Source organism: Homo sapiens, chromosome 3 (genome assembly GCF_000001405.40).
Source record: "Homo sapiens chromosome 3, GRCh38.p14 Primary Assembly".
Lineage (NCBI taxonomy): Eukaryota > Metazoa > Chordata > Mammalia > Primates > Hominidae > Homo > Homo sapiens.
Window position 1 is genome coordinate 76,704,110 of NC_000003.12, and position 27,579 is coordinate 76,731,688.

Sequence of the window (27,579 nt, forward strand, 5' to 3'; positions counted from 1 at the left end):
ATGTCTGAGTTTTCCTGTAATGTCAAGTTTCAGAGCATCATTTCTTCTGGGATATCTTCATCATTTTTGACACAACTTCTTCCCTCATTTATGTCAACAAGTTCATTTTCACAAAGTTCCTCTGGCTGTGTATCAGAGTCCCTCTGAAAAGTGAGAGTGTGAACATTCACACAGCAATTGCTTTCAAAACTCCATCTTTGTTTAATTTGAATTTCACTTCCAATATCATCACTTTTTGTTTCTTTACTGCATTTTGACTTTTGTTGATCAATTTCTTCTATCAGTTATCCATTTGTGCAAAATGGCATGTGGGTTATCGCTGGAGGACAAGGCGTCAACATAAATACCCAACTACTGTCTATGTATGAACTGAATGATAGATGTACAGTAACCAATCACAGACAGACTTTGAAAGGGGTAACACGATGAATCATAGATCAATTTACTGGGACACAATAGTTACAATAGAAAGTACCATATATCATTATGCCTTCCTTTACTTCCTTTCCATGCTTGGGTCCTAGGGATAAGGAACCCACTACTGCAGATTGGGCTCTGCACACTTGAAACTAGAATTGTGAAGGAGATAGCATGAGGTTTTCTTGAATCTTTTTAGATGACCAGTTACACTGGGTATACACACTTATTCTTGCAGAAAGGTGCCAAAAATTAAGGTCATAGCTAAGCAGGGCTCTCTAGAAGACTCAAGACAAAAACCAGTTCAGCACTACCCTCCTATCTTGGCATAAAGCCTTATAATGAAGGTGTTTTTGATTAATTAATTAATTAATTTATTTTGCATCTAAAAAGAGGAATGGTTCTCTTCTAAGGTCAGTAAATCAGTACTCTAACCAGGGGCCTGTGGACTTTTTCTGGGTAAAGTTAGAGAGTAAATATTTTAGCTTTGTACCACATACAGCCTCTATGCCAACTCTTCAACTCTGCCCTTGCAGTGCAAAGCAGTCACGGACAATAGGTAAGTGAATGAGATTTTAGTTACACAAATACAGGAGACTGGATTTGGCCCACAGGTATGGTCTGCCCACCTCTGATCTCACTCATTATCTCTGTGTATGTTGTACTTTTAGCTCTGTGATAAATGCCTTATAATTCTTCATATTGAAAAACAGATATCCCAGTTGCCTGAATAATACAATATATCCCAGTTGCCTAGAGTAATACAATGTATAGTAATACAATATAGCTAATACAATTAACTTTTCATAAACCCTAGTAGTCTATCATTAACAAGATTTTAAAAGGACAAAAATCATACACACAGTGATAAATACGTAAAGGGGTATGTGTGTCTTTAAAATGACTTTATTCTCTGATAGAGAGTGTACATTCAAGAAAGAAGAGGGCATGAGCAGCATCCAATGATGCAACACTGTCCAGAAGATGACAAGTAAAAAAGGCCATTGGATTTGTCAATTAGCGAGTGATTGAGGACCTTCAAGAAAGCAGTTTCAGTAGAATCATTGGGGAGAAACTAAAATGCAAAATATTTAGGGCTGATAATAATGAGCTATACAAGCTCTTCTCATAAGAAATACAGGTTAATTTTAAATGCATTCAACCGAAATATTATCTTTACTTAAACACACTTCCAGAATCACTTTAAAATACTTTAAATAAATGTATCACTAAAGTAGGTCTGTTTGCAGCATGATTTCTTTCTATTTGCATAAAGTTATTGATTAAATTTCCTATGCCACAGTTGAATTTAAAGCTGTGACCTGTGATCTCAAAATGACTTCCTGACAATAATGATTAGAATGGCGGGTGAACAGCACAAATTTACTGAAATCTGTCTGTGGTAAAGTCAATGATTCTTTTTTCCAAAGACAGAATCCAGTTATACATTTTTTTAAAAAGACTTTCATTAACATATTTCCTTAATCTATTTCATTTTCTAGTCACAGTGTAAACATATGTTAAGCTTTTATAGTAATCCATAGAAGAAAGCAATAATAGTATTCATATTTAATTATTTTGTCATAACAATTGGCATTTTAACTTGAAGTATTAAGAAAGCACCTCAATAGAATAGAAAATAGTTACAAACTTTGATTTATACTGTGCAGAAACACAAAATAGAATTTTCAACTTGAATATGGGAATACAAACAATTATAAAGAAACATTAAAACATTGTTCATTTTTTATCTTGCTTACAGTTCCTTTGTTCCAGTAAATATTTGCATTTTAAAAGTATTTGGTATTATTGAAGTCAATTTGATTACCTCATCCGGAAGGTACAGGCTTCCCATTTCTGCCACCCAAAATTCAAAAGTGAAAATGTTATCATATTTTGACTTTTGAGGTTGGAAAGGAATAATTATTTCTCTTTCTGCTCCCCCTGATCCCTCCCCCAGCCTCCTAACTCTCCATTTTCACTCAGTACTATAGAATGTCACATGGTTGATTGAGTCCTGTTTTCTGAGTCTTCTAAATAAATTTAGTATAAATTTAATATAAACTTCATTTATAAACAAATTGAATATAAACTTTGCCTTTCTATGGGGAAAGAAATAATAGACTATAAAGATATATGATGGCAATTTTATTCTTATTTGGAAACATTGTAGAATATTTCCAAGGAATTAAATTACACCTAAATATTTGTTCTTTGTGTCCTTTTATTCTTTAATGATTTAGTTAAGTGTTTGCAACATATTGGAATTGTGTAAGTAACTTGTGACTCAAAAATAAATAGATGACAGCTTCTATTATCTTTTAACACACATTTAGAGGGTGACAATTTTTTTCTAAAACATGGTAAACCAATGTGATAAGTTAATTATTAGAGGTAGGAACAGATGTCTATGGGAGAATAGAGGATGAAGCCTAAATTTGTTCAGACAACTTGACAGATTTCTAAAGTGTCTTTGTGTGTATATGTATACATATATATATATATTCTAATGTGTGTATGCATGTATATATACATATTTTCTGTGTGTGTATATATAGTGTATGTGTATGTATATGTATACATAGACTATATATTAATTTTAACTCCATTCAAGTGTATTTATTTGTTTTAAAGCCAGAAGAGCATTACTCTTGCAGGATCCAACTTTTCCCCTCTGATTCCCTGGCATAACACCAGTACCTAAAGAAACACCGCACTAATCTACAAAAATAATGTGCACTGTTTCCCTATTGCTAACAGACTAAAAAGTTTGTACCTGAGAATAATAGGTGATTCCTTTGGCCATTATTGGTTAAGTCCACTCTCTTCAGCTTGCCAATGACAGGTGATGCTTTACATTACAATCAATTAATACTCTAAGATTCTTAGAAATGGACAAACCACTTTTTTCCTATTTTGGTTGTTTCTGAATAGTTACTACCTGTGTGGAAAAATTCAAAGTGCTAAACAGCAGTATCACTTTATGGCCTCATACCACACTGGAGCATGCCACAAGTTCCCAAGGCTGGTGACTCCTCCCTCTACTGACAGGTACTACGAGAGATCTTCACACACTACAGACCTCAGTTACTAACACCTAAATACTAAGACCCATGGGATTTTCATTCTCTGTGTTCATGCCTAGTACTTTGGTAAGATCCACACCAGGCACACATACACACACACATTAGAATACATGTGTGTGTATATATATATATATATATATATATATATAAATCTTAAAAGCAAGGCTGAGATTTCTGTATCAAGACAATTTCTCCAGACCACCCTCCTCCAATCTGAGTCAGAGTGATGACAGCCAACTGGCTAAGGCTGTGTGTAGAAAAGGATTTGTGTACCACAGAAAAAGAACTCCAAAATTACGAATCTTGAACTATATATGTGAGCTGCTATACAGCTGCTATCATCCCCTCTTGAGAGAAAAAGAGAAGATTTGTCTCTCAAATGTATCACAAGTTGGAAATGTAAACTGGAATTTGGAATGTATGTGCAAGTAAGCCTACAAGTTTTCATTCCCCTTTGAAGCAAAAGCACATAGCTCTAGGGAGATATATCTTTATATCTCTGAAATTGCTGTCTATTCAATTATGCTTTAACTTTCAAAGCATATCCTTTAACCCACTTTCCAGTTTTCTTTGCCTAGAATACCCTAGCATAGGGAAATATGAAAATATTTTCTCTATACTTCTACATGATTGAGGAAACGCTTTCTTGTAGAGATGGCATTTGAACCTAGAAGGTTGGATACCTATGAATTTACCAAACAAAAGGTAAACCCATTCCTGGCAGAGGGAACAGAAGCACAACGGTTTGGCAGTAGGAAAGAACATGGCAGAATTCACATCAATTGTTTAATAGCTGTTATTTCTGGGAAATGGAATGTTAGGATGAAGTGGAAGTTTAAGGATATCTTTTCAATTTTGCTCTACTTGAATCATCTGAATTATTTGCATAATAAACTTCAAGTAAAAACAACAACCAAAAACCACACAAAAAACAGTACACTGTCATCCAGGACACATACGTCACTGCATCAGGTATTAACTGAAGATGTAGCAGAAAAACAAAAAGCCTATCATAGGTCATCAGAATTTATATGCCTTGCCCAGCAATTTGGACTTCATTCTATGGGTAGACAGATCTCCTGAAAGTTTTCCAGAAAGGAGTAATAAAATTGTGTTCACGTTTTAGAACCATTGCTCTGGCAGAACCAGAATGAATGGATGAAGATGAGGGGATTGGAAGCAAGGGGAGAAATTTAGAGTTTCAGTGCCAGATTGACATCTTCAAACAATAGTAGTGGGAATAGAGGGAAGGGCAAGCACCCAAGAGATATTAGGTAAAGCAAATCAACGAGCAGACCTCAGTGAGTGATGGGACATGAGAATCACTGGGACAGTGGGAGTCAGGAAAACTCCTTGGGTTCTCTTTTGGACAATTGGGTAGATGAGGGTGCCATTTACTCAAAAGGTCAATATAGATATTTTGTTTTTGGTTTTGAGTTGGAGAAGATAATGGATTTATTTTTTATATCCTAAATCTGAGCTCTCTATGAAGTACCTTGATGAAGATATCCAATAGTACCATGAAAAGGTTGGCATTAAACAGTCATTGAAAATTAGATATGCATTCCCCAAGGGAGAATCTAGAGAAGAAGAGGGAATACATATACATAAAAACACAGCTACCATTCACACAACATTTAAGATCTGAAGTTCTGCGGCTATTGGCATTGGTTCAGCAGCTCAACAATGTCAGATTTAGTATCTCCATGTTTTTTGAGGCTGTGCCTTCATACTTGCCACCTCATTGTTCTTACAGATATCACAGCCACTTTCACCACAGGAAGAAAGGGTAGGGATTTGTATCAGTCTTGTTCATCTCCTTTCATCAGGGAAGGAAAAGCTTCTTCAGAATCTCCAGAAGATTTTCACTTGTATCTCACCGGCCAGAACTGTGTCACATATCAACACATACCTGTGAATGGAGCTGGAAAAGCACGTATTACTTGGACACATTATTGTCAGAACACAGGAAGGATTATGATGCCATAGAAAAGGGGTGAGTGGTTATTTAGTAGGAACTTCAGGGGCTGGACAGGAGATTTGAAGCAGGAAAGTGAGTTCAGCAATGTTATATGCCATAGTGCTCATTACATCATCTGGATTTTCCAGAGCCAGGGTAATTAGTTTTCAGATTAAAATTAGTTTTCAGATTATTTCTTTAAAATGAAGTATATTTGCAAAAATAAAATCATTAAATAGTAAAAAATGTCAATACTGAAAGAGACCTGCTGTTAGAGGCCACACTGTCTATTGCAATGTGGGGCTGCCTCTCAGCCAATGAGAAGTATAACCAGACCACTTCCTTCTGCCAACAGCTCTTCTGAGGACATGGGATAGCAAAGGCTGCAGATCTCAACACAACTTTAGAGGTAGGATTTTGAGGATAAAGAAAACAAGTAAAGAAAGGGGAGGGAGAGAGACACGTGGAGAGAAAGAGACATGGAGAGAGAGGACTAAGGAAAGTGGCTGAGGCCTGCCCCTCTTCCAAACACTTGTCCTTTTCTTTTTCTTTTCTTTTTTTTTTTGAGATAGAGTCTCACTCTGTCGCGCCAAGCTGGAGTGCAGTGGCACAATCTCAGCTCACTGCAACCTCTGCCTCCTTGGTTCAAGCAATTCTCCTGCCTCAGCCTCCCGAGTAGCTGGGACTAGAGGTCCGCACCACCCTGCCAAGCTTATTTTTGTATTTTTAGCAGACACGGGGTTTCACCATGTTGGCCAGGATGGTCTTGATCCCTTGACCTTGTGATCCTCCTGCCTTGGCCTCCCAAAGTGCTGGGATTACAGGTGTGAGCCACTGCGTCCAGCATGTCCTATTCTCATATTCAGAAAAAGGCTAGGCTCAGCTAAGAAAAGATAAGAAGACATTATTTAAACTAGTAGTAATTTGTTTGGCCAATTTCCAAGTTAATTACTACTTGACCCTACTGAAAACTGCCTTTTGGATTTGGTTATAGAATGCCTTGGAGTTATGGAGACAGAAGTCAGAATACAGCAGGTTGAGAAGTAACTCGTCAAGGTAGGGAACTGAGACTGCTCTTTCTGATCTGGGCTTCGTGGGAAAAGAAAGGTGGATAGAGAATAATGAACTATTGAAGGATTACTTTTTTGTTTGTTTCTTTTGAAAATGTGAGCAACTTGATCGTATTTACAGACTTAGGGGAGCTTAGAGAAATGAGCTAAAGATATAACAGATAAGATGCAATTAAAAGAGAGGAGAGCTGAACCCATCCTCAGACAGGATGATGCGATAGAAAGTGAGAAAAACCAGACAAAAGAAAGTAGTTCACGGCTAGCACTTTTCCTTCATTTATCTGTCATTTATCAATAATCTTTTACATTCTGTTTCCTGATATTGGGCTTTCAAAATTATAGAAAATACAATGGAATTGTAGATTTTGATTTTAAAATGGTTGACTGGTCCATAGAAAATTTAAGATTTATATTATTGCTATCGCTGCTTTTCCAAGTTTGACTATCGTATTAGTCCATTCTCAAATGCTATGTAAAACTACCCAAGACTGGGAAATTTATAAAGAAAAGAGGTTTAGTTGACTCACATTTCTGCAGGATTAACAGGGAACATGACTAGGAAGTCTCAGGAAACTTATAACCATTGTGGAAAGCAAAGCGGAAGCAAGCATTTTCTTCATACAGCAGCAACAGAGAGAAAGAGCGAAGGGGGAAGTGTCGCACACTTTTAAACCATCAGGAGAAGAGCAAGAGGGAAATCTGCCCCCATGAACAAACCACCTCCTACCAGGCCCCTCCCCTGACACGTGGGGATTACAACGAAACGTGAGATTTGGGTGGGTGCACAGAGCCAAACCGTACCAACTACGTTCATTGTATTTCACAATTATCTGTAATTCAGATTCCCGTCTTTAGGTGGATAGACAAAGGGAAAGGTGATTAGGCTCACTAGCTGGAAATAGAAATTTTAAGATAACGAAATCCATCCACACATCTACATTAAGCACCTGTCAAATGGCAGGGACTGTGCAAGAACGCCTAACGTACAACAGAGTAGGGAAGCTTGCTAAGTCGACCGTCTAGAATGGTGCACACTTAGATAGCCACACGGTGCTGGGCAAGAGTCAGTTTTCATCATGCACCATGCTGCTTCTCACTTACCTGTCATGAAAGCACTCTTTCTGGAATCTTTTTCTGCTTCACGCTTTGACCCCTTCGAAACTCCTATTGATTTTAACAGATTCAGTTTAAATGTCACTTCTTCCTGGGAGCCACGTTTTATGACTCCAAGCAATGCCAAGAGCTTCCTCCTTTCTCCAGTTGAGTGCCTTGTTCATATCTCTAACATGGCATTAATTCATTTGTCCTGATTATTTGTTAATGTCTATGTTACCTCCAAGTAATGGCAGCTTCCAGAATATAGGAAGTTTCCTCAATTTACTTTTATAATAAGGGGTTACCAAACTTTTTGGGAAAAAGAGTAGGCTTGCATTAATACTTACTGATTGGCTATAAAAATGAATAAGAAAACACTTCTGTTTTTGCCTCTCATACCCTGAAAAATCTAACACATTTTAAAATTAGGTTTATATATTAGTTCTTAAAAGATTTATTTGCACCCTTGCAGAAAGCAAATCAATAGATACAATCCTTACATAAGCTAGATCAAGTGGGTCCTTGTGATTTCTGTGTGCTCTTTTTACCAGGTGTGTTTTAGTGAAGAAAATTCATTTTATCTTTATCTTCTATAGTGTTATGGCCCAGGACTTGATCCTATATTTAAATAATGACATCAGTATCTCTGCTTTTAGGCCAGGCATGGTGGCTCACACCTGTAATCTCAGCACTTTGGGAGGCCGAGGTGGGCGGATCACCTGAGGTCAGGAATTCAAAACCAGCCCGGCCAACATGGTGAAACCTCATCTCTACTAAAAATACAAAAATTAGCTGGGTGTGGTGGTATGTGCCTGTAATCCCAGGTACTTGGAAGGCTGAGGCCAGAGAATCACTTGAACCTGGGAGGCAGAGGTTGCAGTGAGCTGAGATCATGCTGCTGCACTCCAGCCTGGGCGGCACAGTGAGATGCCGTCTCAAAAAAAAAATAATAATAATAATTAAAAAAAATTTAAATGAAAAAAGCTCTATATTTAAATGAGGATACATTATAGGAGCAGCTATAAAATCATTTTCGCCAGCAAACTCTTGCTTTGTTCCTTTCTTTTCCAATTTTCTCTTCATTTCTTATATTAGAATGATTTTACTAATCTTTTCCAATTTTTAAAGTAACTTTTTCACATTAATCTTCTGTAATGGCAACTTTTTAAAATAAATGATCATTGGATTCTTATTCACAACATGTTTCTAAAACTTATTTTCTGAGTTTCACAAGGAGTAAGGACATATCCAAGGCTCTGATATCTAAAATAATAAAACCAAATAAACTGTGCCATAAAGGCACTCAATAAGTTAATTGTCTTTTAAAAACTGACGTTTTTCCAAAATTGCCTGATTTGGAGCTACTTTCTAACATCATATTTGTAAACATCATATGGGATGAGTGTTCCAGCTAACAAGTTTTGGTAAAGTGCTTTATTGCAATGCAAGAAGAAAATCTTCCAGGCAAATTTGACTTCTTAATTGAGAATTTCAAAATCTTTATGCCATTTTAAATTTGTTTATTTTAATGTTGCTTTGGATAATCAGATAAAGTACTTAATTATGATTCTTTGAATTAAAAGTCAAATAATTTCTTTCTAGTTTTAATCAGTGATTCCCATACAATGATTCCTTTATGCATTTTAAAAAGATTTTTGTTGTTATCCTAAGATTTTTTTCTTAGTCACTTGGCTGTGTCTTCCCCCACTGATGAATTTTCTATGTTCATATTAATAAAATATTTCCGAGGAACTGTATTGGATGTAGTTTAATATTCAAATGAGTGTCAAATGTGGTTTGGTCAGAAATGAATAATTCACTTTTTAAAAACTTACTTTTGACTAACTAGCTCTCTCAGGATTAAGTACAGTGAGTATTAAACATAGTCTTAAGAAAAGCTGGTAAGTTTTTCTTGCATTAACTTGTTTGAACAAGAAAATTACCTCTTTGCTTTACATGTTTCTACTTCCAGTCACTTGGTAGGATTTAATTAGGCATCTTTATTCAACATTAACAACATGCTTTTAAGCGTACTTCTATTTTTAAGTAGTTTAGTAAGTTCTCAGTCATAACTATGAAGTACAGAGGAATTTCCATTCCATTGTAAGCCATTATTACTGGGAGGTAACATACATGAAGGAAAAAAACATGCTGGACTGCATTTAATTGGATGAAATCAGGGTAGTTTCTTAAGTAGTAAGTTTAGAACTGTGCATTTTAAAAGTAAAAAAAAAAATGAGACTTCAGAAAATTATAGAAAACTGCATTTGAAAAAAACTGTACAGAAAACCGTAGTTAGTATGTTCAGAAATAGGGCGGCCTGCTTAAAGGAATGAAGTCTTTTAATACCTGTAGGTTTATTTTTGTTTTGTTTGATAGTATGAAACAATGGTCTTGTGTAGAAATCTTCCATACACTCCAAAATTAGGAGGAAAATTTTGCCCATGTGCAGCGTATACATTTTCCTTTTTAACAACTAGATATAACCTTGAGCATAATAAACTCTCTCCAGAAGTGGTGTTGCTGGTGTTCATTGGGAGGGAATGAGATGAGGTCTTTGCTCCAAGAGTTAATTTTTCTAAGGGTGTGGAAAAGTAGATAATTACAGCTCAGGCGTGGACGGGTGGGATCTGTGTTTAAAAGTATCATTATTTACAATTGGTCTGAACTCATTGAACAACAAGGAAACTTTTGATAATAGCCAGGACTAAAGAGGAAGTTTAAACAAATTTCATTATGACAAAGGAAATTGTGAGATTGACACATAGCAAAAGGCATCAATCAGAAAATACATTTGTGGAAAATGTTGTATATCCAGCTATGCTTCCCTTTCTTGAAACAGAAATCTTAAGGGAACAGAACATGACAGTGTTAGATAGTGACTAGGGGACCCCCATAACTCAGAATTTGGAGAGTAGTCTTTGCTGGACTCAACACATTTCAGTTTTACAAAATTAACACCAGACTTAAGTAGGATAAAGATATACATTAAAATAGTACACAAATCTATTGCCAATAGCACTGACTCTGGGAACTTTTAAATAAATAATTCCATTGTAACAGATCAGTATCCGATGTGAAATATAGAGACTTACGGTTCTGCCACAGAGTCTATTAACTGTTCAAGACAGTCTGTTTTTCTTGTTAGTGCCCACCAAGTGTGTATTGAGTAAAGAAATAAGAGGAGTAACTTCTCATCCTGTAAACCTTAATTTGCAACAGGTGACCCCAAGCTCATAAACATTATTTCTTTCATTTTGATACCAGCCTAGAAACATTTTAAGCTTTTGATCTATTTATTGTAAATTATGGGATGCAATGCCACTTTGTATTTGCACAATGATTAGGGATAAAATAGGTTTTCCAAACTATAATTAGACACAGAGAAAGAGGTCTTTTTCCTCTTCCATCTCGTAAATAATTAGAGACCCAAACCCACATTAATAGGTGTTCCCACAGGATCTTATTTTAATCTCTGGCAAACAACTTGCTCAAATTCTAAGGAAAAAAGTTAATAATCTTCCAGGTATTAATACTTCATGATATGCTTTTGTTACGAAGAATACCACCACCACTAACATCAACAAAACAAAACAAAAACCCTGTATGACTATCATTAAAATACACATTCAACAAAGATGGACTCAGTTTTATACTTCAGAATTGTGGGAGACAGAAAAATGAAAATCTTAAAGGCTGGCCTTTTTCAGGTGCAGTCTAGCTCAGTAGCAGAGACAGTACAGGACTTAACAGTTCTCAAAGCATTTCCTTTTGTTCTTGTTGTATCACTTACACCTAATAGCATTTGAACAAGAATCTTGGTCCATGGTCTGTAATGTGATGCAATGCGAGAATGCTAAATGTGTGTCATGTGGAAAGCATCTGATGTTGTGTTGTGCATTGCAATAAACTACTAAAGGTCAGAGCCATGAGAATGAAAGAAACCAAAATCTATAATTATTGGCATTTGTGGGAATTGTTCTAAGAACATTTAGCCATTTCAATCCAATTTTCTTTCTTTATGGGCCTTAACAAAGAGGGGAATATACACAGAGGCTTTCAATCCACAGCCACTCTTTTATTCTCTCTTATTGGAGAATAGAAACCAGACCTATGGCTTATCTCAAATATAAATCTTATTCAACATACAACAAAGGGGACACATATATTCACAATGAATTTTTGTCATCTTGTGTCTTCAAAAGAGATTTTAGGTTGGCTTTGGCTGCAAAAAAATTATATGTTGACTTTTGGTTGGAAGCTTTGTTCTGAAATATTTTATCAAAATGATATTCTTATAAAGGGCTACTTTGTAAATAATACTAAAATGGCCAAATTTGTAAGACTTAAGTTATGAATTTTTTGGTATTACTTTATTCAGTTTTAACATAGTTTTGCATATGATAGATGACCATAAATATATGCAGTTGATTTATTTTATTGGCATCTGTGTATTGTCAAAGTAGATATGTTAATGATGCATTCACTCAGGCAACTTTCCATAGATACTGTTTTTGGAGTCTCTATCAAATGGCCTTTAAAGCTGCTTAACTACAATAAAACTGGCATCATTACTTGAGTAAACATTTGAGCTTAACCCCCCAAAAGAAGAAAAAATGTATATCTTACGTTTTCTCACCCATCTTTTCCTTATCTTTTTTCTTTATTCTTCACAGGTAATAGATGTAGTTCTAAACACTATTTGGCTATTAAAAAATCTCTGCCCTTAGATATTCCATGCTGAGGTTATTTAAAAGAATATGCTGCAGATACTGAAGAAAACTGCAGTGTAGATGAATCTAGATTGTTATATATATCAGAGAACAAATATCACCTAATGTGCTAGAGCAAGAAAGAAAATTAATGGATGAATAAATTATCTCTTATGTAAACTTCAAATAAGCAAATTGGTTGTTTACCTAGCAGCTTGAGCCTTCTCTATAGACCACTAATGATCATTAAAAATGAAACAGTTGAGCTATCATGTGAATCTGTTTTCATTTCTGACTTCTGTGACTGAGCTCAGATGTTGTGTGTACTTAAATCTGCCTGTAGGGTATCTTTGAGTGCTTCATGGGATGGCCAGTGGCAAGCTCTGCCCCACATTAACTGACTCTAGCAAATCCTTTTGAAGAACTAACATCCTCCTGTTTAAGTCATGTCTACTCTCATGAAAATATACTAACATCACCTTGTAGTTTATTGCGAGGATGTTAGAGTGAAATAACTGCCACATTTCTATTAGTATTCATCCATTTTCTGTGTGCATTTTTGCTTAGAAAGTGGGTTTGAAGCCACCAACCGTGTTGATGTGAAGGTGATATCTGGCGTAAGTTTTGTAGCCACAGAGAAGACTGGTTAGCAGATTGTTGCTGTATAATTACTCTGTTTTCATTCCTAACTCTATAAATCTTTTACAAAGAATCTGTTCATCATTTCTTCATGAAAGGTAGCTTGAAGAAAAGCCCCACTATGGCTGGGCACGGTGGCTCACGCCTGTAATCCCTGCACTTTGGGAGGCTGAGTTGGGTGGATCACGAGGTCAGGAGTTCAAGACCAGACTGGCCAAGATGGTGAAACCCCGTCTCAACTAAAAATACAAAAATTAGCTGGGCATGGTGGCAGGCACTTGTAATCCCAGCTACTCAGGTGGCTGAGACAGAGAATTGCTTGAAGCAGGGAGGTGGAGGTTGCAGTGAGCCAAGAATGCGCCACTGCACTCCACCCTGGGCGACAGAGTGAGACCCTGTCTCCAAAAAAAAAAAAAAAGAAAAAAGAAAAGCCCCACTATCAACCTAACAGAGTTGTGGAGAGTGTAAATGTGAGTATTGTGTATTTGCACCACGGAATATCAGCTGAGTTTGGTGCTTCAGGTAGGCGATCAAACTGAATATATCAGTTTTATTTTTGAAAAGGAAATATGAACAATAGGTAAGAGTTTTGATATTCTTCTGAAATCTGTGAACTCACTCTAAAGCAGGTCTTAAAAAAGAATCTCTATAATTTGCAATCAAAGGAATCAAAAGCAAAACCTCCTGATGTAAAGAGTTTTACTGGCTGTGCAAGATTTGCTTGGCCATAACCAAGATTTGCAGGTAACACAGAGGATCACAAAATTATTTTTTAATCTCCCACCACAATGATTTCAAAACAGAAACTCATTAGATATTATTTACTAATAAAAATACTTTGCAGCTCCTATATATATTTATTTCTGACCACCAAGGCTTAAATTTCAACTGATATAAGTATCACATTCATCAGATAAGATGCTTGTAATTCTGGCATATTCATTTTTACCAGCATTGCATAACCTGCCCAAACTGGATGGTAGTCCATCATTCCCTAAAGAAGTGAGTGGATAAACGATGTGTATAAGTGTCTACCATAGACAGGATTATCTCTATAACAACTCTATATGGAAACATTAACCCACAACAGGTCTCTGCTAAAGGATTTTTGTGACATCCATCTAATTGTCACAGAAGCACAGATGCAAGCTTAGGAGTCCTGTGAGAACAGCTATTGCTACCATCCAGTTTAGCATCAGAAAACAGAGCAGATCATGTAATGCTAGCACAGATAATAAACCAGGATTCCTATCATTCTCACCGATGAATTTTACATTTAACATTATCTTCAACTTAAATCTAAGTGGTTAGGATAAACCATAGTTTCATCAAATTCTGTTTCCATTGCCACTGTTATTTTGACACATCCTCAAAATAACTGCCTTCACCCTTTCTTAGTTGAAAGATAGACAGTGTTTTTCTCAATTTTCATCTTGGAACAATTTACTGAAAGAAAACTTACGATGAGTGAGCTTAAAACTCTTAGCAACTTAGGCCTGAATGTCATTAAATTAAGAAAGCCCCTCTGTGATTATAAATAGTCACAGGGCATTAGTGATGTAGGTCTGAAGAGCTCTAATCTATTACAAAAACTTTCCTTCAGAGGCTTTGATTTGTGAGCAATGCTATTTTACAGGGAGAGGTATTGAGCCTTTACATTTACTGTTAGACAAATGTAGGTTGAAATAATGTACCTGCAGTACAAAGGTCACATATTAAGGACTTTATTCACTTGAAAACTGAAAACCATTGCCTAGAACATTTTACTTACTTTTATTGAAAACATTTTATTGGCTGTTTCTGTGGACATGTGTCCTTTCAAATGACACAAAATATGGTATTCAACTCAATACAGACACATTCAACAAAGCACGGACATATTTTTCAAGCTTTGGTTCTTTTGACTTTATTATGTTACCCATCATTCCTTTAACTTTTTTTTAAATAAAATCACTTACGCATTCCCTACATGTAGCACCAAGAAATTCTACTGTGGCCCTATTTTGTTAATTTTAGAGATAGAAAATTGAAGAAGGTTTATTTTTATATTGGTTGCTAAGGTTTTGCTCCACCTAAATTATGTGTACATACAACAGAAACTGTGCACCTTACACATAATAGAAAATACTAATTTGCTGCTAACATAGATAAACTGACAGAAGAAACAATTTATTTGAATGTATAGATTCAGTCCCTTTTTCAATTATGTAGACATCATAACAATATTCATGTTGCCACACACAAATGACAATTTTAAAGTGTTAGTTAAATAGGGTGTCACTCTCATCCAGGCTGGTGTGCAGTTGTCACAATCACAGCTCACTGCAGCCTTCAGTTCCAGGGCTCAAGCGGTCCTCCTGCCTCATCCTCCTGAATAGCTAGCACTACAGGCTCACACCACCACACTGGCTGACCCCTATATAATTTAAAGTAAAAAAATCCATCTGAAATACATATCATTAATTCGTTCTGAATTTTGTTGTTAACAATTTTTTGTAAGAAATTTACAATAAGGCCGGGTGTGGTGGCTCACGCCTGTATTCCCAGCACTTTGGGAGGCCGAGGCGGGTGGATCGCCTGAGGTCAGGAGTTTGAGACCAGCCTGGCCAACATGGTGAAACCCTGTCTCGACTAAAAATACAAAAATTAGCTGGGTGTGGTGGTGAGCACCTGTAGTCCCAGCTACTCAGGAGGCTGAGGCACGAGAATCGCTTGAACCTGGGAGGCAGAGGTTGCGGTGAGCTGAGATTGCGCCACTGCACTCCAGCCTGGGTGACAGAGTGAGACTGTGTCTCAAAAAAAAAAAAAAAAGCATTTCTTTAGAGAAAAAAATGTGTTTGAAAATCACTTAACTTCTTAATTGAGAACTTATCAAATATGGGGCTACATAAGAAAGTGGGATACTGTTATGGACTAAATATTTGGGTCCTCCCAAATATTCTTATGTTGAAATTCTAACATCCAATGCGATGGAATTAGGAGATGGGCCTCTGACAGGAGATTCAGTAATAACAGCAGATCCCTCATCAGTGTTATTGGTGCCCTTTTAAAAGAGACATCAAAGCACTCCCTCACTCCTTCAGCCATGGGAGGATACAGCAAGAAGAGGGTTGTCCATGAACCACGAAGCAGGCCCTCAGCAGACACTAAATTTGCTAGCATCTTGATCTTGAATTTCCCAGCCTCCTGAAATGTGAGGAAAGGAAAAAATCTATTGTGTCCAAGCCATCCAGTCTGTGATATTGTATTAGAACAGCCTAAATGGGCTGAGACAGAACACTAGATTGGTTATGTGGGTTGGTAGCATTAATACAAAGAAATAATGTTTGCCATTCAGAAAAAGTCTGGAAGCCTTCATCCTCAGGAATATGAGAAATCTGGACTTTCAGAGGCATTTACTCTCTGAAAGGAACAGTAACAACAAAAACAACAAAAAAAGAGATGGAGATAATTCTTACTCGGTACAGATTTACATACTTTGCAAGTTTGCCTTAGGCAGAAACAAAGCAAGGCAGCATACTTATTTTTAACTTTTGTTTGTTAAAGAAGCTATAGACTAGTGTATTATAAAATTCAAATTCATATTTATAGTTAAATTAGTCATTCAGGTAAAAGAATGAGGCTAAAAATAATTTCGCTTTCCAATTAAAATAGAGATTTAGGAGATTAGCGATTTGCCCACTCTCTTTTGCAAAGCCTGCCACTGAAGTTAGGAAAGGTTAAAAGTATTGGAATTTATAATTCTAGTCATCAAGAGCATTTTGTTTGTCAACTAGATTTCTTGGCACAACAATCAAATTCTGATAATATGGCAATTAGTTACTAATTTCTTTTTGTCCACTACGACACACAAAAATATCCCAAGTAGTGTATCAAAAGCTTTTTTAGTGCACGTATATGATTGGACAAAACCCAAGATTTTTCAAAATCTGGCATAAATTCTTAAACAGTTTGAGTTCCTCAACATGAGTCAAGTGGCTTGTTTACAATTAGCTAGGAAAACTTACAGCTTCCATTTACCTGTAGTACAAATTATCACCTTTAATAAAAAATCAATCTGTAATCTCAAGTTTATTGATGGATATCTAAAATCTAAAATCTCTCAAGTATTTCAGTGGTAAAATTAAAAATTTTTACAAAGTTTCCTAACTTCTACATAAAACATTTTTCTTAACTTTTGAAGTATTTTGTACATTACCTGAGCTTCTGTGATAAGAGAAATAAACACATTTTAATATGCTTTTCATCTGTTCCTTCCTATTAATTATAAAGTAGCATATTTCTGATGAGTCTTTTGGCTCTTCCATTTCATTTCCTTCATAATATAATAGACGGAACTGTCGTTGTGATATATTAGTAGTCAGAAATAGTTTTCAGTTTATTAAGTTCCTTAACTATACTACATTCCTCTCTGAATCTGATTACTTCCTGCATTATTTACTCATTTATTTCATCTTCTTTTGACCAGCCTGATTCTGTTGTGTGGCTTTTCATCTTTCATCTTCAAAGCTCGATTCTGGATCATATGTGACTGTCTAAAGTTAGTTGCTGGTATAAACTTCAAATGCAAAACTTTTGTTAAAAAATTCCAGCTGAGGTTTATCATCCCTAAAAATGTACTGCTGTTTCTACCACACTATTCTTTTTATTGTCATGATCATAAGGCTGAATAGAGAAACAGGCTGTTTTCATTTCAATCATGCTAACAATCCAGGAAAATTAGGCTTTGATCTTTGGGAAGAAGATTTGGGACACCCAGTGTGTTACAATTGGCTTTAGAGATTTATTTTACAAGAAACTTGCGTGTATGTATCAGAATGTGTTTTATATTCATTGCCAAGGGGGTAGAGTTGAGGTAGGAAGTCATTCTGCTGTCTGCCATGAAGAAATCAGGTTTAAGTGATTTGAAAAGACTTAGGTGGGACTTCTATGACTGAATGAAATAGGTTTCCAGGTTAATAGTAATGCCTCTGGAAATGTTTCCTAAAAATTGAAGGCAGGAAAGAGTGAACCAACTGTAAACTGGGAACAGAGGGAATGAAGTAGGAGGAAACACTGTTGGGGGCCTTGTCATTGGGTTGACCACAGGTTTATCCTGGAGGGAGATCTTAGATGGAAAACTTTGTGTTTCACGCCGTTCTTCTGCCTCAGTCTCCCAAGTAGCCGGGATTACAGGTGCCTGCCACCCACGCCTGGCTAATTTTTGTATTTTTAGTAGAGACAGGGTTTCGCAATGTTGGCCAGGCTGATATCGAACTCCTGACCTCATGATCCGCCCTTCTCAGCCTCCCAAAGTGCTAGGACTACAGGCGTGAACCACCGCACCTGGCCAAAACTTTGTATTTTTTAAACAGCTTGATTGAGAGACAGTTTACCTACCATAAAGTCCACCAGCTTAAAGTACACAATTTAGTGGGTTTTAGCACATTTACAGAATTATGCAACCATCATCATAACCTAATTTTAGAATATACCACTTAAATGAAACCTGGTGTTTATTAGCACTCACTACCCATTCTCTCTCCCTACACCCTCAGGCTGGCCCCAGGGTCAATCACTAATCTACATTCTATCGCCACAGTTGTGTCTCTTCTGGATATTTTGTGTAGGTGGAAGCACACCATGTGTGATCTTTTGTGAATGGCTTCTTTCACTTAGAATATTTTTGAGGTTTATCCATATTGTAGCATATATCAGTACTTCATTGCTTTTTGTTACTGAATAGTGTTTCATCACATTTTGGTTATCAATTTACCAGTTAATGGGCATTGGATTGCTTCCAACTTTTGTCTACGATTAATAAAGCTGCTATGAACATTAGACAAAATGCTTTTCAAATTTAAGGTACTTTTTTGTTTATGTACATAATTTATATTAATTTCTTACAATTGAAATATGGAAAATAAAACTATAGATATGTTTTGTCAGAAAATAACACTGCTTCTAATTTTACATACTAAAATTAGAATATGATTACTTTTAAAGGTGAAAATATATAAATGTGTGTTTCATACATTATTCCTTGTGTTATACAATTTTTCTATTTGGATGGAAAAGAAAAATTAACATTTTACTTGTCAGAATTATTATTTTTAAAGTATGTATTACAATAGTATACATTCATATCACATCATTTTCGAAATAAAATATGCTATTAAGGTAAGTTTCTATCAACTGATTAAATGCCAAGTTCATATATAAAGAAGAAATAAATATTATTTTTAAAATGTATTGAGTTCCTTTTATATACATAGAAAATGTGGGAGATAAAATATGAGTAGTGCACCATCTTTGGGGAAAAAAATCCATAAACATAAGTGACAAGACTATTTGTTTGCTTTATTTAAACTTTGGCTCTTCCTTGAAGAAAATAATGTTCTGGGAAGGTCTTTGTGCAGAGGCAACACAGTTTCCTTACTGTCTCCCCACCGAGGGATGGAACTGCCATTCTCCCAGCCTCCTATTATAAGTCTAGGCCCCGCCCACTTCATTCTCATACAAAATTCTTTGTCTCCTCTTTGTCCTTGTCTTCCAGTGCTAGTAAGCCCCATAGCTACATATTCTATTGTTTACTGACTTATTTCCCCATTCATCTCCATTCATTAAAGACTTTGGTGACTGGTGGACACACTTTTCTCTTTCATCCAAAGTCTTGCTTTCATACTGCTATCAACAATATTTATACAGATTATAATTCTAACCTTCTATAGCAGTTTCTCTAAGTGTGAGTTGTCTACTACCTGTATCCAAATCATCTGGGTTAAGGGGGCAAATTCATGAATACCATACCAGACCTCTTAAATCAGAATCCCTAGAAGTAAAATCAGCAAGTTCTGCATCACAAGCTCTCCAAACTATGTTTCCACACATTAAAGTTTGAGAATGGCCGTCTAGATTCTCTTGCTTATTGTACTCAGCAATCACATTCAGCATCTACACTGTCTAGTCACCCACTCCCATGTAGACACTGTGGTCGATTATTCTACCTCTGACATCATGAATTCCACTCTTGGCACATAAACTTTTATCTTTTAATTCCTATTAATTATACTTTCAGCTTTTGTCCTTAGATGTTTTAGCATTCTCCTGTCTTCATTTGCTTCTCCATCCAGCCCAAATCCCAATATCCAACACTGCAGTAGCTCCTGACCAGCCCTCTGGACCCCCTTAGGCCAAGATCATGCCACCACACTCCAGCAGGGGCAGCAGACTGAAACTCTGTCTCATATTTTCAATCAAATATGTTCAACAAACCACAATCTTATGTTAATCCAACTACCATCTTGACTGCTATATCCAGCCATCTCAGAACAGCTGGCAACTATTTCCGCAAGTCTTCAGATTATTGACAGTACCATATTTGTTATTCTCCACCTACACCATTTAATACACTGCTTACCAGCTAGTCAGCTCTCTGCTCTATTCTCCCCAATAGCTAATTCAGAAATTTATGATGCCAAGAATTCCATTTCCCCAGCACTGTTTTCTTTCAGCAGGTGATCTTGCTTCCTGTTTCATACCTCCAGACCCCAATATCTATTTGTTTACCAAATACATCCTCTTGAATTTCCAGCAGCCACTTAAAATTAAATATGTCCGTAGTAGGCTGAGTAATGGCCCCAAAGATATCACACCCTAATCTCTGCAACCTATAAATGTTACTTATATGGAAAAATGGTCTTTGAAGACGTGATTCTGTTAAGGACTTTGAGATAGGGAGATTAGCTTTTATTATCCAGGTGGCCCTAAATTCAATCATGAGTGTCCTTACGAGAGAGGCAGGGGAGGATTCCATAGGCGCAGAAAAGAAGTCAGTGTGACCACAGAGGCAGAGGGTGGAGTAATTTGGCTGCAATTCAGGGAACTCCAGCAGCCATCAGAAGCTATAATAAAAGTGGCAAGCAGCATGTTTTTCCCTAGAGTCTCTGCAGGGAACATATCCCTGCTGACAACTTGATGTCAGCTCAGTAATACTGATTTCAGACTTCTGCCCTCCGTAACTGTGAGAAAATAAGTTTGTTGTTTTAAACCACCAAGTTTGTGGTCATTTATTATAGCGCCCAGAAGGCACTAAGGTAATGGCCAAGAATTTTTTTTTTCAAATTTTCTACTCTTTTTTAAGTAACAGGCACAAACTTCTCTAAATATTTTTTAATTTTTATCCCTAATATCTAACATGTCAAGTTCTGTTGATTCTATTTAATACATCTCTCTCTAAATTATTCCTTCTTTTACAGACCCACTGCCATTGTCCTTGCACAAATGACTTTTGATCCAGCCTTCTAGAATTGGCTCTGTGGCAAACTGACCTAAGTTCTTGTTATTTCAGAAATTATTATGTTCCTTTTGTAAATACTGGTGGCTTTCAGTGACTAGGGATAGGAAGTGATTATACTTGTCTCTAAAAATTTTTTCTGGTTTGCTATAATGAGACATATGCCAGATCAAAATCTGCTATATGTGCAGATGCTTATTAGTAAGCAATAACAAAGTTTCATTTCATACATGTTCCTGAAACTCAGCAAGCTTCTGTTTTCTTTCTGTAAGAACTCTATGGGAACCAGTCCCTGAGTCAACGTAGTCATATTTTGGCCTTTGGAGCAGCCAAAGTTCTAGTTGGATCAAAGGCAGGTATTCTCTGTTAGGTGGGGGAATGCAGGCCTCAGTGGAATTCTACACTGAGGGCACTACTCTGAAGGTAGCAAGCTCTTTAACTGTTTATTTCCCCTAGAGTATCCACAGAGGAGCAATGAGCCTTCGGAATCTTTCTAGCTAAACAAACACTTGGAGTGTTCCCCATTTCTCCAACGAATATTAATGTCTAACATCCTTTAACTAAGCTAATTAGTGAAACTTCTGCCATAGATTAGGTCATATGCGAATTACTTACAGAGCTATCTCTTGGATGTGTGTTCAAGATTGGGTCCCTTCAAATGCTAAGAAACCATCCTTAGAGTACCCAAGAAAGCTAACATCACACGCGCATACATCAGTCTGTTTTTTCTTAGTTAATTAAAGTAAATTACTTCAAAGAAAATTTGCACAGACTCACTTCTTTTTGCTTTTTCTGTCTCTCCCTGCATATCCATTTCTATACTGTTTCCAGGCTGATCTTGTAAACAGTGTACCTGTCACTCATCTTTGAAGGCTGTCATACCTCCAGGGCATGTGCTGATCTCTGTCTACCTGTTCAGTCTCATTTTGTTCTCCATACGCTTCATTTTTCAGAAATCGTTAATTATTAGTAGTTCTAAAAAAAATTAGGCTATGATTTTTTTAGGTATATTGTTAACACTTTGCCCTCCCGCAACTTGCTTACTGCAATTTTTCTCATTCTCTAGATTTGTGTTCAGAATAGTGATCCTCTATGAAGTTTTCATGTTTCTCTGTGTACCTTGGGCTGCCTTTTGTCTTCACTTTTCTGAGTTTACAACCTTATAATTTACTGATACTTTTTTTCATGTCGAGTGAGTCCTCTCCACCTCCACCAACTCTGTAAGGTCCCAAGTGTGGTTTCTGCATCTGCTTCGTATTGAGGAGCCTCACTCCTACCATTTTTCTGAAAATTGACCTATTTCTTTTCTGAAATAATCCTTTCCTAAAGTTAACTCTTATGATATCAGATGTTATTGCGACTTGTATTTTCCCAAGCCTTGTTTATTTGTGCCTAATTAGTTCTTCATAAATATCTGACAAATATATAAAAGAGTGAAGGAATGAAGGAATGAATTCCAGAGGCAAAGAACATTTTTTATTCATTCAGAGGAAAAAGCTATCTCGTACAGCTACAAAAAGGAGGCTTATACAGGTTTTAGGCCCTTTGTTTTCAGGAGTAGAAAAGGGGTTCCGATGTGTTATTACAACCTGAATTATTTATGACTGACACACGTAAAACTGGAACTGATGTTCCCAATGATCGAGTCATTACATTCTTTGAGCATTTCTTTGGTCTGTGCTAATTCTTAATCCTGAAGTAATATCAAAATTGAATATTGGTTTTCTTGACTGTTGCATATGTCATATTTTCATTGTCTCAAAGAATATAACATGCAGTATTTGTAACATAGAAAAAGCTGATGAACATCTGTTTCTCTTTTCATGATGTTTTGGCTGCTAGACTCTAAGAATAAAGTTATTGAAGTCAGAAGATCTGGGCTCCAGTCTTGAGGACACCAGTTAGTTCTAAAATGATCTTAAGTAAGGAAATATAACAAACACAAAATGAAGAAAATAGAAAGGAAGACAGAAGCATAGAAATGGAAATATTTAAAAAGCCCTGATTCCTGATTTGTAGCCCTACTTGCTGCCCTAAATTCATTTTATTCATTTTTATTTGGCCAATTTATTTTGAGTAATGTGCTTTTATTTTCATTCATTCAACAAATATTGAGCCCTAATATGTATTAGACTCTAATGTACTGAGAATAAAAACTAAAGAAAATGTGGTATAAACATACAACGGAATAGTCTTCAACCATAAAAAAGAATGAAATTCTGGTATTTCCAACAAGGCGCATGGAACTGGAAGTCATGATATGTGGAATAAGTTGGGCACGGAAACAAATATCGCAAGTTCTCATTCATTTGTGGAAGCTAAAAAAGTTGATCTCAGGGAGGTAGAGAGTAGAATGCTAGATACAGAGGCTAGGAAATGTCAGGAAGGGGGCAGGAAATGGATAGTAAAGAGAAAGTGGTTAATGGGCACAAATCTACAGTTAGATAAAAGGAAAAAGTTCTCGTGTTCGATGGCATGGTAGGGTGACTATAGTTAACAACAATGTATGGTATATTTCAAAATAGCTGGAAGAGATGATTTGAAATGCCCTAACACAAAGAAATGACAAATGCTTGAGGTGATGGATAACCTAAGTACCCTGATTTGATTGTTACACATTGTATGCATGTATCAAAATATCACATATACTGTATAGATATGTACAAATATTTTGTATTAATATTTATAAATGAAAAAACACCGAGAAATGAAGGACAAGTAACCTATTGCTGAAGACAGACATTACAAAAAATATTCCTAGTTGTAGGCACGTGCTCTTGCTATAGAAATATAAAATGTCATCATACAGGTCTTTGCTATACCACAAACAAACAATTTTAGAAACATATTCATTCTGTGTGTGTATGTGCCCCCTTGTTTTCCCCTACTAGTGTAATTATTGGGTTGTGTTGTTACACCAAAATTAGCATTCATCAAGTCATTTCATGTTTTGAAAAATAAGCAAGAGTTTGTTTTATGGTTAATTAAAACACTATGAAATACGTTTATTATATTTTTTGAAAATTGACCTATTTCTTTTCCTAAATAATCCTTTTCTAAAGTTAACTCTTATAATATCAGATGTTATTGCAAATTGTATTTTGCCAAGCCTTGCTTGTTTGTTTTAAAACATTAGTAAATCATTAAATCGCTATCTTCGTGTGTGAAAGCATGTCTATTTTATTCAGTCCTGTCAGTTCTATAAAACAGTTTTCACTGAGAACCATGATGCTAAAAACTCATATATTACAATTATGTCCCCCTAGAGGCCAGTAATTATTGGAAAAACAGTTAACTGGTTTTACAGTCAACCATTGTCTAGAAGTTCATCCCTGCAACCTACAGTCCAGTCACCCTGGATCGCAGCTTACAATGTGAATACAAGTAGAAATGGTAATTCGACAGTAAAATATGCTTATACAAAAATCTATCATTTACTGCTAAAAATGTGCCAGAGGGCATCTTGATAAAAACGTTTCCCCATTTTTGTTTTAGAAGTCATTTTAGTTTATAGAGTACCAGTAGTAAAAGTATTGACCATAAGTTGTTTTTTTTTTATTCATTTATTCTTTTCTTCTACTCCTCCTTCCCTATCTCTATGTTTCTCTCTGTCTCTGCCTCTCTCTATTTTTGTCCTTTTTTGGTACTTAAAACATCTTATAGTCACAATAAATGTAGACTTTACTAGTGATCCAGTGATTATTTCTGTCTCAGTCATTTGAGACAGTTTCAACCCTGATATACTAAAATCATAACAGTCCCTGTCAGAGATTTGCTTATTACTTTGTTCATTATCCAGAGTCATTTTCAGTTCCAGCTTAACAGATTGAGCTCTATAAATGAATTGTGACTGTACTACCAGAGTAACTGTCTTTTTTTTTTTTAACACAAATAAATAAAACAATTACCAAGGTTTTCTAATTGTTTTCAAATGGAGCCAAATTCTAGGATATAGTAATAAAAATCATACTAGAAATTGACTCTGAAAACAATGTGGGAATACTCTCTCCCCTTTTGCAATAATTCACCACTCTAATAGTTACAGATTATTAAATTAAGATCACTTTGCAAACCTATGGCAGCTGAGGTTTAATCTACCCATACTTTTATGACTGTCATGAGAATAAGCCATGAAAAAATAAAACAATGAAAGGAATTGGAAGGTTTGGTATGTTTTAGGGCTTATTTTCAGTGATTATATTTATATTTAAACATTCTGAATATGCCACTTTTTCCTGTTGAGTACACATGTATTTCTTTTCTGTCTCTCTCTCTCTTTTTTTTTTTTTTTTGAGACAGTGTCTCACTCTGTTGCCCAGGTTGGAGCACAGTGGTTAAATCTCAGCTCCCTGCAGCCTCTGCCTCCCATGTTCAAGCAATTCTTTTGCCTCAGCCTCCTGAGTAGCTGGGATTACAGCCACGTGCCACCACGCCTGGCTAATTTTTGTTTTTTTAGTAGAGACGAGGTTTTGCCATCTTGGCCAGGCTGGTCTCGAACTCCTGACCTCAGGTGATCCACCCGCCTCAGCTTCCCAAAGTGTAGGGATTATGGGCGTGAGCCACTTCGCCCGGCCTACACATGTATTTCTAAGACACTTCCATCAGTATAGTCTTGAGAGGTTGATAGCCTGGTGTCTGATTTACTTTCTTAGTTTGGGAATATAAAACAAATATTTTGAAAAGCATCAACGTTTGTCTTCACCATCTATTAGTATTATCCTTTCTGATCATTCCCACGTCAGCATCCTCTATTTCTTACTGTCCTTCACTCTCCTACCTCCTATTTCACCTCCTACTCCCCAACCCACTTTTCCTCACCTCCTACTCCCTACTCGCTTGTCCTCACCTCCTACTCCCTACCCACCTCTCCTCACCTCCTACTCCCTACCCGCTTCTCCTCACCTCCTACTCCCTACCCGCTTGTCCTCACCTCCTACTCCCTACCCGCTTCTCCTCACCTCCTACTCCCTACCCACCTCTCCTCACCTCCTACTCCCTACCCGCTTGTCCTCACCTCCTACTCCCTACCCGCTTCTCCTCACCTCCTACTCCCTACCCGCTTTTCCTCACCTCCTACTCCCTACCCGCTTGTCCTCACCTCCTACTCCCTACCCGCTTCTCCTCACCTCCTACTCCCTACCCGCTTCTCCTCACCTCCTACTCCCTACCCGCTTGTCCTCACCTCCTACTCCCTACCCGCTTTTCCTCACCTCCTACTCCCTACCCGCTTTTCCTCACCTCCTACTCCCTACCCGCTTTTCCTCACCTCCTACTCCCTACCCGCTTGTCCTCACCTCCTACTCCCTACCCGCTTGTCCTCACCTCCTACTCCCTACCCGCTTTTCCTCACCTCCTACTCCCTACCCGCTTGTCCTCACCTCCTACTCCCTACCCGCTTGTCCTCACCTCCTACTCCCTACCCGCTTGTCCTCACCTCCTACTCCCTACCCGCTTGTCCTCACCTCCTACTCCCTACCCGCTTGTCCTCACCTCCTACTCCCTACCCGCTTGTCCTCACCTCCTACTCCCTACCCGCTTGTCCTCACCTCCTACTCCCTACCCGCTTGTCCTCACCTCCTACTCCCTACCCGCTTCTCCTCACCTCCTACTCCCTACCCGCTTGTCCTCACCTCCTACTCCCTACCCGCTTTTCCTCACCTCCTACTCCCTACCCGCTTTTCTTCACCTCCTATTCCCTACCCGCTTTTCCATGCCCAGGAGACACACTGTGTTGTGTTCCTCAGTGATCCCTTAACTTTCATTAAAATAGCAAAGGAAGTCTACTAAGATAATTCAAATTGTTTTATGAAATTATATGTATGTCTATTTTAACCAACATGACAACATTATAATTCATATTTGGATTTCTCCATTTTAAATTGCCTTTATTTTTATGAATACTACACATTTTGGGTTCAGCGTTTAGTTTAATGAAAGCTTTCCTGAATACGTAAATGCCAAGGGAAGACACTGGGTACCACAGAACTTCTCATTGTTGTTGTAGGATTTTAAGAATTCCTGGGAGGCTATTATGCATTTTCCAGGCAAATCCTATGAGCATAGCATTGTGACCATATCCCGCTTTTTGACTTCAAATTCTCAATTCTAGGACACAAAATGTTTTTTTTTTCAAGTTCTTTCTCAATGGTAACTTAAAGGAATACAGTCTTAGTTAATACTACTCCTTTCTGTTGCCTGGCATTGAATGACCAGATTGAAATAATTTTCCTATTGGACAGAATAGTGACTCTGTTACTGTATTTGGATCCTGCTTTTTATGAGGCTAATAAATGCAGAAACATAGAAAGAACTCTGCAATTAAGTT

General features: G+C 36.9%; 1 protein-coding gene and 1 long non-coding RNA gene across 30 annotated transcripts in view; both read left to right on the forward strand.

Moving 5' to 3' along the window:
• Window positions 1-27,579, forward strand: part of ROBO2 (roundabout guidance receptor 2) — a 1,743,290-nt gene that overhangs the window by 797,435 nt on the left and 918,276 nt on the right. The window lies entirely within an intron of this gene.
• Window positions 2,988-7,269, forward strand: LOC102724949 (uncharacterized). The gene is made up of 3 exons (XR_001740451.1): window positions 2,988-5,619; window positions 5,819-5,872; window positions 6,458-7,269. It is a non-coding gene; the product is annotated as an uncharacterized LOC102724949 (long non-coding RNA).